Source organism: Homo sapiens, chromosome 17 (assembly GCF_000001405.40).
Source record: "Homo sapiens chromosome 17, GRCh38.p14 Primary Assembly".
NCBI classification, from domain to species: domain Eukaryota; kingdom Metazoa; phylum Chordata; class Mammalia; order Primates; family Hominidae; genus Homo; species Homo sapiens.
The window spans coordinates 43,320,202-43,340,794 of NC_000017.11; the positions used below are offsets into that span (position 1 = coordinate 43,320,202).

At 45.0% G+C, this 20,593-nt stretch overlaps 5 annotated features.

The window, feature by feature from the left end:
• Positions 1,937 to 2,443: an enhancer, noted in NCBI's record as "H3K4me1 hESC enhancer chr17:41399501-41400008 (GRCh37/hg19 assembly coordinates)". NCBI's record gives its function as "activates a minimal SCP1, AML or CMV promoter by ChIP-STARR-seq in naive H9 embryonic stem cells {active_cell/tissue: H9 hESC(naive)}" and the evidence as "EXISTENCE:reporter gene assay evidence [ECO:0000049][PMID:30033119]".
• Positions 2,444 to 2,947: an enhancer, noted in NCBI's record as "H3K27ac-H3K4me1 hESC enhancer chr17:41400009-41400516 (GRCh37/hg19 assembly coordinates)". NCBI's record gives its function as "activates a minimal SCP1, AML or CMV promoter by ChIP-STARR-seq in naive H9 embryonic stem cells {active_cell/tissue: H9 hESC(naive)}" and the evidence as "EXISTENCE:reporter gene assay evidence [ECO:0000049][PMID:30033119]".
• Positions 2,948 to 3,455: an enhancer, noted in NCBI's record as "OCT4-H3K27ac-H3K4me1 hESC enhancer chr17:41400517-41401024 (GRCh37/hg19 assembly coordinates)". NCBI's record gives its function as "activates a minimal SCP1, AML or CMV promoter by ChIP-STARR-seq in naive and primed H9 embryonic stem cells {active_cell/tissue: H9 hESC(naive and primed)}" and the evidence as "EXISTENCE:reporter gene assay evidence [ECO:0000049][PMID:30033119]".
• Positions 4,199 to 4,388: an enhancer, noted in NCBI's record as "active region_12240". NCBI's record gives its function as "activates an Ori minimal core promoter by ATAC-STARR-seq in GM12878 lymphoblastoid cells {active_cell/tissue: GM12878}" and the evidence as "EXISTENCE:reporter gene assay evidence [ECO:0000049][PMID:35858748]".
• Positions 18,858 to 18,907: a silencer, noted in NCBI's record as "silent region_8551". NCBI's record gives its function as "represses an Ori minimal core promoter by ATAC-STARR-seq in GM12878 lymphoblastoid cells {active_cell/tissue: GM12878}" and the evidence as "EXISTENCE:reporter gene assay evidence [ECO:0000049][PMID:35858748]".

Here is a 20,593-nt window from a genome sequence, read left to right on the forward strand (position 1 = left end):
GCTGGAGTGCACTGGCACAATCTCGGCTCATTGCAACCTCCGCCTCCCGGGTTCAAGCGATTCTCCTGCCTCAGCCTCCCGAGTAGCTGGGACTACAGGTGTGTGCCACCATGCCCAGCTAATTTTTGTATTTTCAGTAGAGACCGAGTTTCACCAGGTTGGCCAGGATGGTCTCAATCTCTTGACTTCATGATCTGCCCACTTCAGCCTCTCAAAGTACTAGGATTACGGGCATCAGGCACTGCACCCGGCCTGGGTTTTTCTTTTCTACCGCATTGTCAGGCTGCAAATTTTTTGAAATTGTATGCTCATTTTAACTTTTTTTTTTTTTTTTAATGGAGTCTTGCTCTGTCACCCAGGCCAGAGTGCAGTGGCGTGATCTTGGCTCATTGCAACCTCTGCCTCCTGGGTTTAAGCAGTTCTCTGCCTCAGCCTCCCAAGTAGTGGGGATTACAGGAGCCCACCACAACACCCTGCTAATTTTTGTATTTTTAGTAGAGATGGGGTTTCACTATATTGGCCAGGCTGGTCTTGAACTACTGACCTTGTGATCTGCTCAACTCAGCCTCCCAAAGGGCTGGGACTACAGGCATGAGCCACTGCTCCTGGTCTGTTTCACTTTTACAACTGAATGCTGGCCAGATGTGGTGGCTCATCCCTGTAATCCCAGCACTTTGGGAGGCCTAGGCAGGCAGATCACGAGGTCAAGAGTTTGAGACAAGCCTGCCAATATGGTGAAACCCCATCTCTACTAAAAATACAAAAATTAGCCTGGCGTGGTGGTGGGCGCCTGTGGTCCCAGCTACTCGGGAGGCTGAGGCAGGAGAATTGTTTGAACCCAGGATGTGAAGGTTGCAGTGAGCCGAGATCACGCCACTGCAGTCAGTCCAGCCTGGGCGACAGAGCGAGACTCCGTCTCAAAAAAAAAAAAAAAATAAGAACAGAATGCTACTGGGCACAATGGCTCATGCCTGTAATCCCACCACTTTGGGAGACTGAGGTGGGCAGATCAATTCACATCAGGAGTTTGAGACCAGCCTGGCAAACATGGTGAAACCCTATCTCTAATAAAAATACAAAAATTGGCTGGGTGTGGTGGCAGGCACATGTAATCACAGCTACTCAGGAGACTGAGGCACGAGAATCACTTGATTCTCTGCGGGCAGAGGTTGCAGTGAGCCGAGATCTTGCCACTGCATGCCAGCCTGGGCAACAGAGACTATCTCAAAAAAACAAAAATAGCAAAAACAACAACAAATCCTGGATGCTTTTAACAGCACCAAAGTCACCTCTTGAATGTTTGCTGCTTAGAAATTCTGTAACCGCCAGGCGTGGTGGCTCACGCCTATAATCCCAACATGTTGGGAGGCCGAGGCAGGAGGATCACCTGAGGTCAGGAGTTTGAGACCAGCCGGATCAACATGGAGAAACCTGGTCTCTACTAAAAATACAAAATTAGCCAAGTGTGGTGGCACATGCCTGTAATCCCAGCTGCTCAGGAGGCTGAGGCAGGAGAATCGCCTGAACCCAGGAGGCGGAGGTTGGGGTGAGCTGAGATCCTGCCATTGCACTCCCCTGGGCAACAGGAGCGAAACTCCATCACGAAAAAAAAAAAGAAAGAAAGAAAAAAAGAAATTCTGTAATCGCCGGCACGGTGGCTCACACCTGTAATCCCAACACTTTGGGAGGACGAGGCAGGCAGATCACCTGAGTTAGAGACCAGCCTGCCCAACATTGCGAAACCCCACCTCTACTAAAAATACAAAATTAGCTGGGCGTGGTGGCGCATCCCTGTAATCCCAGCTGCTCCAGAGGCTGAGGCAGGAGAATCGCTTGTACCTGGGAGGTGGAGGTTGCAGTGAGCCGAGATCGCGCCATTCGACTCCAACACGCGAATCAAGAGCAAAACTCCGACACAAAAAAAAAAAAAGAAAAGAAAAGAAAAAGACAAGAAAAAGAGAGAGAGATGTTGGAAAGAAAAGCCTCACAGAAGGCAGGGCACGGTGACTCAAGCCTGTAATCCGAGAACTTTGGGAGGCTGAGGGGGGCGGATGACGAGGTCAGGAGATGGAGACCATCCTGGCTAACAGGATGAGACCGCCGTCTCTACTAAAAATAGGAAAAATTTGCTGGGCGTGGTGGCCTACGCCTGTAATCCCAGCTACCCAGGAGGCTGAGGCAGGAGAATCGCTGGAACCCGGGAGGTAGAGGCTGCAGTGAGCCGAGATCGCGCCACTGCACTCCAGCCTGGGCGACAGAGCAAGAGTTTGTCTGTAAAAAAAAAAAAAAAAAAAAAAAAAAAAAAAGCCAGGGTGAGCGGTGGCTTAAGCCTGTAATCGCAAGCAACACTTTGGGAGGCGGCGGCTCGGCAGATCACCGGAGGTCGGGAGTTGGAGACCAGCCTGACCAACGTGGAGAAACCCCATCTGTACTAAAAATACAAACTTAGCCGGGCGTGGTGGCACATGCCTGTAGTCCCAGCTGCTCGGGAGGCTGAGGCAGGGGAATTGCTTGAACCCGGGAGGCGGAGGTTGCAGAGAGCCTAGATCGCGCCATTGGACTCCAGGCTGGGTAACAAGAGCGGAACCTCCGTCTGAAAAAAAAAAAAAAAAAAAAAAAAAATTGGGAGAATTTTGCTCCCACTGCCGTCAAAATCCCATGTGTATTTCACACTTAACAGCGCAGCTCCATTAGAACTGACCACATTTCCAGGGCTCCCTAGATACCTGTGGCTAGCGGCTGCCATACTACACCGTGCTGGGCTGTAGAATGGGGATGACAAGACAGGGCGGCGGAGATTGTGTTGGCGTGAAGCGAGGGAAACACTCGGCCGCAGGACAAAACTAAAACAGCAAGGGGGCACCGAAAGACTCAGTAGTCCACGTGAATATCCTGATTATGTTGTAGCTGAGATAATGTAGGGTCCACCCCTACCGGGTCTGTGGGTTTTCTCTTCGCGTGTGTGCGGAGACGAGAGATCGAAGAGATAAAGACAGAAGACAAAGAGATAGGAAGAAAGACAGCTGGGCCCGGGGGACCACTGCCACCAAAGCGCGGAGACAGACAGGTAGTGGCCCCGAGTGCCTGGAGGCGCTGCTATTTATTGTAGTCAAGGCAAGGGGGCAGGGTAAGGAGTGCCAGTCATCTCCAATGATCGATAGGTCACGCGAGTCACGTGTCCACTGGACAGGGGGCCTTTCCCTTTGTGGTAGCCGAGGTGGAGAGGGAGGACAGCAAACGTCAGCGTTTCTTCTATGCACTTATCAGAAAGATCGAAGACTGTGGTACTCCTACTAGTTCTGCTACTGCTGTCTTCTAAGAACTTAAAAGGAGGAGCCAGGTGTACAGGCTGAACATGAAAGTGAACAAGGAGCGTGACCACTGAAGCACAGCATCACAGGGAGACAGACGTTGGAGCCTCCGGATGACTGCGGGCCGGCCTGGCTAATGTCAGACCTCCCACAAGAGGTGGTGGAGCGGAGCGTTCTCTGTCTCCCCTGGAGAGAGGGAGATTCCCTTTCCGGGTCTGCTAAGTAACGGGTGCCTTCCCAGGCACTGGGGCCACCGCTAGACCAAGGCCTGCTAAGTAACCAGGGCCTTCCCAGGCACTGGCATTACCGCTAGACCAAAGTGTTCTAAATAACAGGTGCCTTCCGAGGAAGAGGCACTACCACAAGACCATGGAGCCCTCAAGCAGCCGTTATCCGGGCATGACAGAGGGCTCATACTCTTGTCTTCTGGTTACCTCTCACATTGTCCCCTCTACTTCTTACTCTGTATGGCCTGTTTTTTCCTCGGTTATAATAACAAAGATTAATACTAAAAACTAATAATTGATAATATCCATATGTAATCATCTCTGTATCCTATGTCTGATATAACTTTCTTTTATCCTATTTTCTTTATTATATTGGAACAGCTTCTGCGTTCAGTGTCTTGCCTTGGCATCTGGATGGCTTTCTGTAGGGTGCAGCCCTACAGGGCCTGTGGGTTTTTCTGTATGTGTGCGGAGACAATAGATCATGGAAATAAAAACACCGGACAAAGAGATAGTAGAAAACACAGCTGGGCCCACGGGAACACTACCACGAAAACTCGGAGACCGGTAGTGGCCCTGAAGGCCTAGCTACGCTGTTATTTATTGTATACAAGGCAAGGGGGCATGGTAAGGAGTGCGAGTCATGGCCAATGATAGGTAAGGGCACGCGAGTCATGCATCCACTGTACAGGGGGCCCTTCCCTGTTTGGTAGCCGAGGCAGAGACAGAGAGGGGAGAGCTTACGTCATTATTTCTTCTTTGCATTTCTTGGGAAGATCAAAGACTCTAATACTTTCACTAATTGTGCTGCTGCTATCCAGAAGGCGGGGCCATGTGCACAGAGCGGAAAATGAAAGTGGACCAGGACCACTGAAGCACAGCATCACAGGGAGACGTTTAGGTCTCCGGATGCCTGCAGGCATGGTTGCAGGCGGGTCTGACTAATGTCAGGCCTTCCACAAGAGGTGGTGGAGCAGAGTCTTCTCTTACTCCGCAGGGAAAGGCAGAGTCCCTTTCCTGGTCTGCTAAGTAACGGGTGCCTTCCCAGACACTGGCGTTACCGCTTCACCAAGGAGCCCTCCTAGTGGCCCTGCCCGGGCATGACAGAGGGCTCACACTCTTGTCTTCTGGTCACTTCTCACCATGTTCCTTCAGCTCCTATCTCTGTATGGCCTAGATTTTCCTAGGTTATAATTGTAGAACAGAGATTATTATATTGGAATAAAGAGTAATGCTACAAACTGATTAATAATATTCACATATAATCACATATAATCCTATCTATATTCTATTTCTAGTATGACTATTCTTATTCTAAATATTTTCTTTATTATACTGGAACAGCTCGTGCTCTCCGTCTCTTGCCTTGGGACGTCGGTGGCTTACCACCCACATCTCCCCACTTTTTATTGACTAGGATCATCATTGCCATCATTGCTTGTCGTTGACTTGGGACTTGTCCTCGGCCTCCTTGGAGACATCTGCAGACTAAAAGTAGACAACATAAACATACCAGTATTAATAATGCCAATGACAACGATGATCCTCCGAGGGGTTTGATCCATTTAAAGGGATTAAGATCAGATAATCCTTTAGTTATTCCTTCAAAACTGCCCAAGGCAGGAGCAGTAGTTAAATGAGCCTGTGAGGCCTCAAAAACGTGTTCTTTAGGTTTTGAAATATCTAAGGTTAAGTTATCATCCCAGGCTTTTAAATGTCTTGAGACTTCTTCCCCACTATGTTGATCTTTATTATAAACATAAGGTTTTATGCAATAATCAGAAGTATTCCAATCGCACTGTAATTGCATATGGTGTTCCAGATTCATAACTCTATCTCCCAGTCAGATTACACTCTGGTGGAGATAATTAATTTGATTAGCCAATTTTTGATCAACTTGAGCATGAGAATTTCAGAGTTTGGTGGAGTTTTTTTTGCCATGCTTCCACATATTGAGCGGTTTGAACAGAGTTGTGGATAGCAACTCCAACGGTTGTCGCTGTTGCAGTAATGGCAATTAGTCCTGCAATGACTGCAATAAGAGTAAAAATGAATCTCTTGGTTCTTTTGAGGATACCCTTAAGAAGTTCACTGACTATGTGTATAGAGGGGGAAGACTTCCATGGATGATGTAAAGAAATTATATCCATACCCCCTTCCTAGCCCTTATCAAAAGAATACTTGTTCTGGGATTAAAAGTAGCATCGATACACGTGAACAGCTTACAATCATTACATTCTATAGTTTGTGTATTGGGAGTAATAATTATAATTCCAACTAGCAGCATGTAAGGGGATTTGACACAGCTCCTGATATGTATCACCTGTCCTGACATCAAGGTGATCTTGAATATGAGTGTCTTGGTATTAGTAGGAGAGATTTGATAGGTAGCGTTCCATATCCTTATTCCTGTCATGGCTGCAGCTAATTTCCCTAATTCAGGATGTTCAGGGGTAACAATTTGATGAATCATTTTTGGTCTAGGAGGAACGATTCCTGTGTTCCTCCATTTGAATGGATAAGGGGCACCCATTCCCTCAACCTGTAGAATTGCCATCAGTCCTTTACATAATCTAACAAATAATTAAACTCCAAGCATTTGGCATTTTAGCCAGAGCAATTTCTCCAATAATACCCTCTTGGGGCCCAGTCAATAACAGCACCCATAGCTAGATTTTGGAACACTACGGCCTTTGGAGCATTACAATCATTCCATAAAATTGAATTTAGTAGAAAATGTCCCTTTGTAGGTTCCTTTGAGCAGTCTGGCAATCCTTTTGTTTTATTGCTTTTAGTAGTGACAGGAACTCTCCATTCCTCATGTGGATTAAGTTTAACATTCATGAGTTGAAAAGAATTGCTCCTGCACTTGATAAGAATCATTACTAGAGGACTGTATGGTCCACATCGAATTCTGATAAGAATAAGCTAAGCAGCCAGGCAACATTCCAATACACAGTGGTGGATATTTGTAGCCAATTGACAAATTAAAGTGCATACCTTTTACTTCTGGTTGAGCTGGAAACCTGTCATCATTGGGGACTGGCATGAAGACACTATTATTAGTGTAAACTTCCACTGAGGAGTCCATCCAGGAGACAGACCGAATTAAAGGGGGAAAAGGAATGTATGCCCAGTAGGTATAATTTTGAGTTGCCCCAACCCCTGGTATACTCACCACTGCACTGACCACCATAAAGGCAGCCAGAATTATATTACCCGTCACTTTTGGAATTCCTTTTTCTTGTAGTTATTTCTCTGTTTGATGGGATAAGACCTTTATCTGGCCCCATGTTGGTAGAGTAGAATGACTGGTGTTGGAGGTCACACGGTGAGATTTTGTTGTAATGTCGAGGTCATGGAATTTATGTGTCAGGTGGCAAAACTTGCTCTTTGATTTCTGAGGCTTCTTTGCCTTTTGTTTCTGAGAGTTCTTCATCCTTGGAGTTAAAATGCAATCTCAGTTGATGGGAGGGAACCCACACGGGTTGTTGTCCTTCTCCTGGGGAAACACAAGCGAAACCCCTACCCCATGTTACCACAGTGCCTAATTCCTATTTGTCAGTTTTTGTATCCTTCCACCATACCCACTTTCCTTTTTGTGGATCAAATCTGTTTCCAGTGAAATGTTGTTCTGCTGCTGTAAAAGGTTGATTTCTTGCTAGGTTTAAGAAATTGAGTGTAAAAAGAACAAAATTTAACTGAGTATGGGGGTAGGAGCATCCTTCTTCTCTTTAGTGTCCTGTTTTCAAAGTTGGTCTTTCAGCATTTTATTAACTCGTTCTACCAATGCCTGTCCTTGACAGTTATAGGGAATGCCAGTTGTGTGAGTAATTCCCCATGTCTGAGTGAACTTTTTAAAATCATTGCTAATGTAACCAGAAAATTGTCAGTTTTTAGTTTCTCAGGACATCCCATAACCAAGAAACATGAAACCATGTGCTGTTTAACATGAGCCGTACTTTCCCCCGTTTGACATGTGGCCCAGATAAAATGAGAAAAAGTGTCAATAGTTACATGCATAAAAGAGAGTTTGCTGAAAGCTGGATAATGAGTCACGTCCATTTGCCAGAGAATATTTTGTGAAAGTCCTCTAGGGTTAACTCCTGAAGAAAGTGGATGTAAAATTAACACTTGGCAAGTAGGACAGTGACATACAATGGTTTTAGCTTGCTTCCATGTGAAGCAGAACTTTTTTCCGAGTCCCGCAGCATTGACTTGAGTTACAGCGTGAAAATTTTCTACGTCCATAAAAATGGGAGCAACTAATGTATCAGCGCTGGCATTTGCTGCTGAGAGAGGTCGGGGAAGGGCATGTGAGCCCGAACGTGAGTAATGTAGAAGGGAGAAGACCTTGCTCTGAGTAGGGACTGAAACTTTTGGAAAAGAAAAAGTGGTTATCATCAGGCAGAAATGTGTTTAAGGCAGTTTCAATGTTGCAAGCAACACCTGCTGCGTACACCAAATCAGAAACTATGTTAACTGGTTCAGGGAAATATTCAAGAACAGCCATGACAGCAGTCAGCTCAGCTTGTTGTGCTGAAGTAGCTCCTGAGTTAAGGACACATTCTTTTGGCCCTGCATATGCTCCTTGGTCATTACAGGAAGCATCAGTAAAAACAGTGACAGCTTCAGCTAATGGAGTATCCATAGTAATGTTAGGTAAGATCCAAGAAGTAAGTTTAAGGAACTGAAATAGTTTTACATTAGGATAATGATTGTCAATTATACCCAGGAAACCTGCCAAATGTACTTGGCAAGCAATGCAGGTTGCAAAAGCCTGTTGGACTTGTAATCAGGTGAGGGAAACAATGATTTTTTGGGGCTCTGTACCCAAAAGATGAAGAAGGTGAGAAAGAGCTTGACCAATTAGGATAGAAATTTGATCTAGATAAACGGTAAGCGTCCGTAAAGAGCTGTGTGGAAGAAAGCACTATTCAATTAAATTATGTCCCTGGATAATGAGTCCTGTTGGTGAATGTTTAGTAGGAAAGATTAGTATTTCAAAAGGTAAATATGGATTCGCCCTGGTTACCTGAGACTGTTGAATGCGTTTTTCTATAAGTTGTAATTCAGAATCTGCCTCAGGGGTCAAAGACCTTTTGTTGCATAAATCAGGATTGCCCCATAATGTTGCAAACAGATTAGACATAGCATATGTAAGAATGCCTAAGGAGGGGCAAATCCAATTAATATCTCCAAGCATTTTTTGGAAATCATTTAGCGTTTTTAGAGAGTCTCATCTGAGTTGAACCTTTTGGGGCTTAATAACCTTGTCTTCTAGCTGCATTCCTAAATATTGATAAGGAGAAGAAGTTTGGATTTTTTCTGGAGCGACAGCCAAACCAGCTGTTGCAACTGCTTGTCGTACTGCAGAGAAACAAGATATTAATACAGAACGTGAAGGCACTGCACAAAGAATATCATCCATGTAATGAATGATAAAAAATTGGGGAAATTGATCTCTTACTGGCTTTAATATGCTCCCCACGTAATATTGACAAATGGTAGGCTATTAAGCATTCCCTGAGGTAGGACTTTCCAATGGTAACGTGCTGTGGGAGCGATGTTGTTAAGGGTTGGAACTGTGAAAGCAAATTTTTCAAAGTCCTGAGGGGCCAGAGGAATGTTGAAGAAGCAGTCTTTAAGATCAATGATGATAAGAGGCCAATACTTGGGAATCATAGCGGGGAAAGGCAAGCTGGGTTGTAATGTCCCCATAGGCTGAAGGACAGCACTTACTGCCCTAAGATCAGTAAGCATTCTCCACTTACCGGATTTCTTTTGGATAACAAAGACAGGTGAATTCCAGATAGAAAAAGATTGCTCGATGTGTCCCAATTTTAACTGTTCAAGGATCAAAATATGGAGTGCCTCCAGCTTATTTTTAGGGAGCGGCCACTGATTTACCCAAACCGGTTTCTGAGTTTTCCAAGTCAAGGGGATGGGATTTGGAGGCTTGATAGTGACCACTTCTAAAAAGAATAACCAAGTCCCGTAAAATCTGATTTATGGGTAGGTATAATAGGCTCGGTGATGCCTTGTGCTGATTTCCCTAAGCCCATAACTTGAACAAATCCCATTTTTGTCATAATGTCTTTACTTTGCTGGCTGTAATTGCCTTGTGGAAAAGAAATCTGTGCCCCTCGTTGTTGTAAAAGTTCTCTTCCCCACAGGTTAACAGGAATGGGTGTAATGAGGGGGCAAATAGTACCAATCTGTTCTTCTGGGCCCGTACAGTGTAAAATTGTAGAACTTTCATAGACTTCTGAAGCCTGACCAACACCAACTAATGCTGTGGACGCGTGTTCCTTTGGCCAGTGTCGGGGCCATTGATGTAAAGCGATAATGGAGACATCAGCGCCCGTATCAATCATTCCCTCAAACTTCCTTCCTTGAATATGCACAGAGCACACAGGACGAGTGTCAGAAATCTTGCTGGCTCAATAAGCTGCTTTGTCCTGATAGTCTGTGCTACCAAAACCTCCAGTTCTGGTACAAGAACTGGATCCTAAAGGAACGTAAGGGAGTATAAGAAGCTGAGCAATGCGGTCTCCAGCTGCCGTATATCAAGGGACTGCAGAGCTAATGACAATATGAATTTCACCTGAATAGTCAGAATCAATTACACCAGTATGTACTTGAACACCTTTTAAATTTAGGCTTGAGAGATCAAATAGCAAACCGACACTGCCAGTCGGCAAGGGGCCAAAAACACCTGTGGGAACAGCAATAGGTGGCTCTCCAGGTAACAGAGAAATATCTCTGGTACAACAGAGATCTACTGATGCTGAGCCTGTGGTGGCAGGGGACAAGCATTGTACTGAGATTCGTGTTGGGGCAGAGCCATTAGATCCTGTGGCACAAATTGCTGAAGTGGGAATTGGGATGTAGGTTGAATGGATTGGGCTGGCAAGGCGCTCATCTTGCTGGACGCCAGGGGCTCGGAGTTGAGGAATGCCCCATTGTTTGGAGGGGCCTAGGGCTGGCCCCTCTTCCCGTTTACCTGGAAGTGACCGTAAGGGATTGCCATCAATATCAAATTTTGAATGGCATTGAGCCACCCAGTGATTTCCTTTTTGGCATCGTGGGCATATAGTAGAAAGTGGGGCTTGTTGTTGAAAAAATTTTGGTTGTTGGTGTTGAAAAGAACAGCGGTCTGTATGCCAAGGACAATTTCTTTTAGAATGTCCCGATTGGCTGCATAGGAAGCATTTGCCAGGGAATTGTCCAGGCATTCGAATAGAGACCATGGCTTGTGCCATGACCATTGCTGTACGCAGAGTTCCCCTCACGCCTTCACAGACTTTAATGTATGAGGTGAGTACATCACCCCCTGGTGGAATTTTGCCTTTAATGGGGCAAATAGCCACCTGACAGTCTGGATTTACTTGTTCATAAGCCATAAGTTCTATAACAAGTCATTGGCCCTGGCTATCAGGGATAGCTTTTTCTGCTGCGTCTTGAAGATGGACAATAAAGTCTGGATACGGTTCATGTTGTCCCCGTCTGACGGCTGTAAAACATGGGCATAGTTTGTCATCATCTTGAATCTTGTCCCAAGCATCTAAGCAGCATTTCCACAGTTGTTCAATAACCTCATCATTTAGTATAGTTTGGTTTCGAATTGCAGCCCACTGGCCCATTCCCAGTAATTGGTCGGCTGTAACATTAACAGGAGGATTAGAGCCCAAAGACGAATGCATTCCTGGATAGCATCAACCCACCAAGTCCTGAATTGTAAATATTGAGATTTAGATAAGACTGACTGCTAAAATCTCCCAGTCATAGGGCACCAAGTGTTTATTTTCTGCTAGGGCTTTTAATTTGGAATGGACAAAAGGGGAGTTGGTGCCATACTGCTTCACAGATTCTTTGAAATCTTTGAGGAATTTAAAAGAAAAACTTGGCCAGGTGCGGTGGCTCACTCCTGTAATCCCAGCACTTTGGGAGGCCCAGGCAGGTGGATCACAAGGTCAGGAGATCGAGACCATCCTGGCTAACAGGGTGAAAGTCTGTCTCTACTAAAAATACAAAAAAAAAAAAAAAATTAGCCGGGCATGCCTGGGAGACAGAGCGAGACTCCATCTCAAAAAAAAAAAAAAAAAAAAAAGAAAAAAAAACTTTCCTAAGTAGCGGGACATAGCTGAACCTGGCCTGGATGTATAGGGTCAGGTTGAACTACTGCCTGAACTACTGGAACATCAGGAACTGGCTGTGTCTCAGCGGCAGGCAGTTGTGGAGCCTGATTATTTTCCTGAGCAGCCTGATTGTCAGGCTGTTGATCTTGACGGGTTGCGGGATCAGCTGCCTGCTGAGAAGGATCAGCAGGCTGTGGCTGATTTTGTGCCACTGGGACGGCGGGTATTGGAGGTTGTAAAATTACAGGAAATTGCCAGGCTTCGGGATCCCCATATTCTCTTGTCTGAGCTATAGCCCTCATAAAAGGAGTGTCATTTTCAGGGATGTATATAGCTCATTGCTTATGAGCGGCAATGGTGGTATTGGCCACCACAGTAGCAACTGGACCAGAAGCAGGAAAAAGTTTGGAATTTTGAATGGAGGAAGAGTTGAGAACCTGTAGGCCAGGATGAGACGAGATTACCTGCTGGGCAGGTCTTTCATGGGCCTGAGGCTGCCGCAGTAACTGTGGACCAGGCTTCAAGGGAGCCTGAGGTTTCAAGGGAGCCTGATTTGTCAGAAAAGACCCAGGCTTCAAGGAAGTGTGATTTGCCGAAAGAGACCCAGGCTTCGAGGGAGACTGATTTGCCAAAAGATACCCAGGCTTCAAAGGAGCCTGATTTCTGAAAGAGACCCAGGCTTCAAGGGAGCCTGATTTACCAAGAGAGGTCCAGGCTTCAAGGGAGACTGACTTGTCAAAAGAGAACGAGAAGAGAGAGGTGGAAAAATAGGTTGAATATGGATAGGGTTGAGGGCCTCATAACTGGGCTGAACTGGTAGAAAGTTGAGAGCCCCACAGCGGGGCTGAACAGAGATAGGGTTGAGGGCCTCATTACCAGGCTGAATAGGCAAGAAGTTGAGAGCTCTACAGCAGGGCTGAACAGGGATAGGGTTCAGGGCCTCATTACCAGGCAGGGAATTGAGAGCCTCTTCACCGGGCTGTGTAGAAATTGGAGCCTCTGTACCAGGCTGCATGAAAACATAGTTTAGAGCCTCTTTTTCAGGCTGCATCATCTCATTTTCTATCTGCATAGCTGGAGAGTTGAGAGTTTGAGGAAAGGTAGGAGGGTACAGCTGTGATGGCTGTTGATAATATCTTTCAGCTGGATTTTGCTGGTTGGGGGAAATAAATTCATTCAGATCAGTTAAAAGTTCATCATAAAGCGATAACCGGGGCATGGTAGGCTCTGGCGTAGGTGGTGGCACCAAAGGAATATCAGAGTGGAGGTCCATCTGTAGAACTATGGCCTCAATCTGTGCAGTATCCTCAGGTGAAAAAGAACTAAGCACTTCCTCAGCCTCCTCAGAGGAAAGAGGGATCAGTCTCCATGTTGTCCTCCTGAGTCTGTAAAGAGTCTAGGACAGAGCGAACCGAAGCCCAGATTGACCAAATTGGGGGTGGAATAATATGCCCGCCTTTATGAGCAATTTTGAATGTCTGCCAATCTCATCCCAATCCTTAAGTTCTAAAGTTCCCTCAGTAGGAAACCAAGGGCAAAGAAGATCTACAACATCAAACAGTTCAATTAACTTATCAGTAGATACTTTTAACCACTCCTTCTTTAAGGAGAGTTTTTATAAAATTTAAATAAGCTGAGTACTTAGTACAGGCCTGTCCCTTGGTGTCCCCGGGATACTCTGAGTGCCCAAGCTTACCACCAAGCTTATTGACCTCAATCCTCAGGAATCTGTCATTGAAATCCTCTGCTGTGTTTCACGCTCAAAGTGCAACTTCACACAGCGAGAGAGAAATTCTCGTTGGGCGCCAGATGTAGGGTCCAACCCTACAGGGCCTTTGGGGTTTTCTCTTGTGTGTGGAGATGATAGATCATAGAAATAAAGACACAAAACAAAGAGATAGAATAAAAGACAGCTGGGCCCGGGTGAACACTACCACCAAGACGCGGAGACCGGTAGTGGCCCCGAATGCCTGGCTGTGCTGTTACTTATTGTATACAAGGCAAGGGGGCAGGGTAAGGAGTGCAGGTCATCTCCAATGATAGGTAAGGTCACGTGAGTCACGTGACCACTGGACAGGGGCCCTTCCCTATTTGGTAGCTGAGGTGGAGACAGAGAGGGGACAGCTTACGTCATTATTTCTTCTATGCATTTCTCGGAAAGATCAAAGACTTTAATACTTTCACTAATTCTGCTACCGCTGTCTAGAAGGCCAGGCTAGGTGCACAGAGTGGAACATGAAAATGAACAAGGAGCGTGACCACTGAAGCACAGCATCACAGGGAGACGTTTAGGCCTCCAGATGGCTGTGGGCATGGCTGCGGGTGGGCCTGACAAAGATCTTCCACAAGAGGTGGTGGAGCAGAGTCTTCTCTAACTCTCTCCCTTTCCTGGTCTGCTAAGTAACGGGTGCCTTCCCAGGCACTGGCGCTACCACTAGACCAGTCTGCTAAGTAACGGGTGCCTCCCCAGGCACTGGCGTTACCGCTAGACCAAGGAGCCCTCTAGTGGCCCTGTCCGGGCATGACAGAGGGCTCACACTCTTGTCTTCCGGTCACTTCTCACCGTGTCCTTTCAGCTCCTATCTCTGTATGGCCTAATTTTTTCTAGGTTATAATTGTAAAACAGATATTATTATAATATTGGAATAAAGAGTAAATCTACAAACTAATGATTAATATTCATATATGATCATATCTGTATTCTATTTCTAGTATAACTATTCTTATTCTATATATTTTATTATACTGGAACATCTTGTGCCTTCGGTCTCTTGCCTCAGCACCTGGGTAGCTTGCCGCCTGTAGGGTCCAGCCCTACAGGGTTTAGTGGGTGTTCTACCCATGTATGGAGATGAGAGATTATAAGAGATAAAGACACAAGACAAAGAGATAAAGAGAAAACAGCTGGGCCCAGGGGACCATTACCACCAAGACGCAGAGACCAGTAGGGGCCCGGAATGGCTGGGCTCGCTGATATTTATTACATACAAGACAAAGGGGGAAGAGTAAGGAGGGTGAGACGTCCAAGTGATTGATAAGCTCAAGCAAGTCACATGATCATGGGACAGGGGGCCCTTCCCTTTTAGGTAGCTGAAGCAGAGAGGAAAGGCAGCATACATCAGTGTTTTCTTCTAGGCACTTATAAGAAAGTTCAAAGATTTTAAGACTTTCACTATTTCTTCTACCACTATCTACTATGAACTTCAAAGAGGAACCAGGAGTACAGGAGGAACATGAAAGTGGACAAGGAGCATGACCACTGAAGCACAGCACCACGGGGAGGGGTTTAGGCCTCCAGATGACTGCAGGGCAGGCCTGGATAATATAAAGCCTCCCACAAGGAGGTGGTGAAGCAGAGTGTTTCCTGACTCCTCCAAGAACAGGGAGACTCCCTTTCTTGGTCTGCTAAGTAACGGGTGCCTTCCCAGGCACTGGCATTACTGCTTGGCCAAGGAGCCCTCAACCGGCCCTTATGTGGGCATGACAGAGGGCTCACCTCTTGCTTTCTAGGTCACTTCTCACAATGTCCCTTCAGTACATGATCCTACACCCATCAATTATTCCTAGGTTATATTAGTAATGCAACAAAGACTAATATTAAAAGCTAATGATTAATAATGTTTATACATTATTGATTGATAATTGTCCATGATCATCTCTATATCTAATTTGTATTGTAAGTATTCTTTATTCTAACTATTTTCTTTATTATACTGCTACAGTTTGTGCCTTCAGTCTCCTGTCTTGGCACCTGGGTAATCCTTCGTCCACAGCTGCCCAAATCTCCCCTCTTTTTATTGACTAGGATCATCATTGCCATCATTGCTTGTTGACTTTGGGCTTTTCATCGGACTCCCTGAAGACATCTGCATACTAAAAGCAGACAACATAAACACACCAATATCAGTAATGCTAGTGACAATAGTGAACCTCTAAGGGGTTTGATCCGTTTAAAAAGATTAAGATCGGATAATACTTTGGTGATTTCCTCAAAAATATGAGAGCCAGGAACGGTAGTTAAGTGAGCCTGTGAGGCCCCCAAAATTTGCTCTTTCAGTTTTGAAATATCTTAAGTTAGATTATCATCCCAGGCTTTGAATGTCTCATGACTTTTTCCCAGCTATGCTGATCTTTTTTATAAGCATAAGGCATTATGCAATAATCAGAATTATTCCAATCACATTGTAATTGCATACGGTGTTGCAAATTCATAACTCTATCTCCCAGCCATATCACACTCTGGTGGAGATCATTAATTTGATTAGCCAAATTTGATCAACTTGAGCCTGAGAATTCCAGAGTCTGGTGGAGTTTTTGTTTGTTTGTTTGTTTTTTTGCCACACTTCCACATATTGAGTGGTCTGAACAGAGTTGTGGATAGCAACTCCAGCTGCCATTGCTGTGGCAGTGACAGCAATTAATCCTGCAATGACTGCAATAAGAGTAAAGATGAATCTCTTCGTTCTCTTAAGGATTCCTTTAAGGATTTCATTGACTATATGAATAGAGGGAGAAGACTCCCAAGGGTGGTGTAAAGAAACGGTATCCTTACCCCCTCCCTAGCCCTTACCAGGAGAATACTTGTTATGGGATGAAATGTAACACGAATACATGTAAACAATTTGCAATCATCAAATTCTATGGTTTGGCTGTTGGGGGGTGATAATTATATTTCCGACTAATAGCATATAAGGGGATTTTACACAGCTCCTGCTAGGTATCACCTGTTCAGACATCAAGGTGACTTTGTATACGTCTGTCTTGGTATTAGTGGGAATGATCTGATAGGTTACATTCCATATCCTAATTCCAGTCATGGCAGCAGCCAATTTCCACAATTCAGGATGTTCTGGGGTAACAATAGGATGAATCACTTTTGGTCTAGGAGGAATGATCACTTTGTCCATCCATTTGAATGGGTAAGGAGACACCCATTCCCTCAGCCTGTAGGACTGCCATCCCTCCTCTACATAATCTATCAAATAGTTGAACTCAGAATATTTGGCATTTAGGCTGGAAAAATTTAGCCAATAATATCCTCTTGGAGCCCAGTCAATAACCACCTGTAATCAGGCCCTGTAACACTACTGCTTTTGGAGCATTACAATCATTCCATACAATAGTTTCAACTGTAAAAGGTTCCCTGGTAGGTTCACTTGAACAGTCTAGCAGTCCTTTTGTTGTATTATGTTTGGTAGTGACGGGAACTCTCCATTCCTCATGAGGATTAAGTTTAACAGTCATGATCTGAAAAGAATTACTACTAAACTCATTATGTACTTGATAAGAATCATTATTAGAGGACGGTACAGTCCATATCCAATTTTGATTAGAGAAAGCTAAGCAGCCAGGTGACATTCCTATGCACAATGGCGGGTATTTATATCCAATTGACAAATTAAACTGCATACCTTCTTCCTCTGGTTGAGCAGGAAACCTGTCATCGTTAGGGACTGGTATAAATGCACTACTATTAGTATATAGGCAGCATTTGCGAAGCTGTTGAATGACCTCATCATTTAGTATAGTTTGATTTGTAATTGCAGGCCATTGTCCCATTCCCAATAACTGGTCAGCTGTAATATTAACAGGAGGATTAGAGCCTTGATTAAGCTGAACTCGATCGTGGACAGCATCAACCCACCAAGTCCTGAATTATAAATATTGGGATTCAGATAATACTGATTTTGCTAGAATTCCCCAGTCATAAGGCACCAAACGTTTATCCTCTGCTAGAGCTTTTAATGTGGAATGCACAAAAGGGGAGATGGTGCTGTATTGTTTCACTGATTCTTTGAAATCTTTGAGGAATTTAAAAGAAAAACTTTCCCGTGTAGCAGGGAGTAACTGGACCTGGCCTGGATGAAAAGGATCTGGTTGGACTACTGCCTGGACTGCAGGTATACCTGGAGCTGGCTGCGCTACAGCAGCAAGCATTTATGGTATAGGTTGAGGAGCCTGATTATTTGCCTGAGGAGCCTGATTTTCAGGCTGCGGACCTTGGGGAGCCGTGTGATCAGCCACCTGCTGAGCAGGATCAGCGGGCTGTGGCTGATCCTGTGCCACAGCAACAGGAGCGGCAGGTATATGGGGATGTAGAATAAGAGGAAGTTGCTAGGCCTCAGGATGCCCATACTCCCTGGCTTGAGAAATGGCTCTCATAAGAGGAGTGTCATTTTCAGGAATGTATGTAACCTGTTGCTTATGAGCAGCCATGGTGGTGGCAACAGCAGTGGTAACCGGACCAGAAGCCAAAAAGAGATTCGAGTTTTGAATAGAGGAAGAATCAAGAACCTGTAAGCCAGGATGAGGTGCGATTACCTGCTGGGCAGGTCTTTTAGGGTTGAGAAATCAAGGCTGCTGCAGTAACTGCAGGACAGGCTTCGAGGGAGCCTGATGCACCAAAGGAGAAGCAGAAGTGAGAGATGGATAACCAGGCTGTGGAGGGATAGGGTTGAGGGCCTCATTGCCAGGCCAAACAGGCAGAAGGTTGAGAGCCCTACAGCAGGGCTGAACAGAGACACAGTTGAGAGCCTGTAGGGGCCAGCCCTACAGGGTCTGTGGGTTTTTCTCCCCGTGTGCGGAGACAAGAGATCATAGAAACAAAGACAAAAGACAAAGAGATAAAAGAAAAGACAGCTGGGGCTGGGGGACCACTACCACCAAGACGTGGAGACCAGTAGTGGCCCCAAATTCCAGGCTGCGCTGTTATTTATTGGATACAAGACAAGGGGGCAGGGTAAGGAGTGTTAGCCATCTCCAATGATAGGTAAGGTCACGTGGGTCATGCATCCACTGGAAAGGGAGCCTTTCCCTGTTTGGCAGCCGAGGCGGAGAGAGAGGAGAGACAGCTTACACCATTATTTCTGCATTTCAGAGACTTTTAATACTTTCAGTAATTCTGCTATTGCTATCTAGAAGGCAGAGCCAGGTGTACAGGATGGAACATGAAAGCAGACCAGGAGCATGACTACTGAAGCACAGCATCACAGGGAGACGGTCAGGCCTCTGGATAACTGCAGGCAGGCCTGACTTATGTCAGGCCCTCCATAAGAGATGGTGGAGTAGAGTCTTCTCTAAACTCCCCTGGGGAAAGGGAGACTCCCTTTCCTGGTCTGCTCAGTAGCAGGTGCTTTTCCTTGGCACTGACGCTACCACTAGACCATGGTCCGCTTGGTACGGGCATCTTCCCAGACGCTGGCATTACTGCTAGACCAAGGAGCCCTCTGGTGGCCCTGCCTGGGCATAACAAAAGGCTCACACTCTTGTCTTCTTGTCACTTCTCACCATGTCCCCTCAGCTCCTATCTCTGCATGGCCTGCCTTTTTCTAGGTTATGATTGTAGAGTGAGGATTATTATAATATTTGAATAAAGAGTAATTACTACAAACTAATGATTAATGGTATTTATATATAATCATATCTATGAGCTATATCAGTATAACTCTTGTTATTTTATATATTTTATTACACTGGAACAGCTCGTGCTCTCGGTCTCTTGCCTCGGCACCTGGGTGGCTTGCCACCCACATCTCCCCGCTTTTTATTAACTAGGATCACCATTGCCATCATTGCTTGTCGTTGACTTTGGACTTGTCTTCGGATTCCTTGCGGGATCTGCAGACTAAAAGTAGACAACATAAGCATACCAATATTAATAATGCCAGTGACAACAATGATCCTCTGAGGGGTTTGATCCATTTAAAGGGATTAAGATCAGATAATTCTTTAGCTATTCCTTCAAAAATGTCTGAGCCCAGAACAGTGGATAAATGAGCCTGTGAAGCCTCAAAAATTTGTTCTTTAAGTTTTGAAATATCCAAGGTTAAGTTATCATCCCAGGTTTTTAAATGTCTTGAGACCGATTCCCAGCTATGCTGATCTTTATTATAAGCATAAGGTGTTATACAGTAATCAGAAGTATTCCAATCACATTGTAATTGCATACGGTGTTCCAAATTCATAACTGTATCTCCCAGCCATATTACACTTTGGTGGAGATAATTAATTTGATTAGCTAACTTTTGATCAATTTGAGTCTGAGAATTCCAAAGTCTGGAGGAGTTTTTTTGCCATGCTTCAACATATTGAGTGGTTTGAACAGAACTGTGGATCTCAACTCCAGCGGTTGCCACTGTTGCAGAAACCGCAATTAGACCTGCAATGACTACAATAACAGTAAAAATAAATCACTTTGTTCTTTTCAGGATACCTTTAAGAACTTCATTGACTATGTGTATAGAGGGGGAAGACTCCCATGGATGATGTAAAGAAACTGGTATCCATACCCCCTCCCTAGCCCTTACGAATAGAATACTTGTTGTGGGATTAAAAGTAGCATCAATGCACATGAACAGCTTACAATTATCACATTCTATATTTTGTGTATTGGGAATGATAATTATATTTCCAACCAACAGCATGTAAGGGGGTTTGACACAGCTCCTGATACGTATCACCTGTTCAGACATCAAGGTGATGTTGAATGTGGGTGTTTTGATATTAGTGGGAGAGAGTTGATAGGTAGCACTCCATATCCTTATTCCTGTCATAGCTGCAGCTAATTTCCATAATTCAGGATGTTCTGGGGTAACAATGGGATGAATCATTTTTGGTCTAGAAGGAACAATGCCTGTGTTCATCCATTTGAATGGGTAAGGAGACACCCATTCTCTCAACCTGTAGGACTGCCATCCGTCCTCTAATATTGTAACAAATAATTGAACTCTGAGCATGTCGTATTCTGGCTGGAGCAATCCCGCCAATAATGGCATTACAATTATTCCATAAAATTGAATTCACCAGAAAAGGTCCCTTTGTAGATTCCTTTGGGCAGTCTGGCAGTCCTTTTGTTTTATTGCTGTTAGTAGTGACCAGAACCCACCATTCCTCTTGTGGATTAAGTTTAACAGAA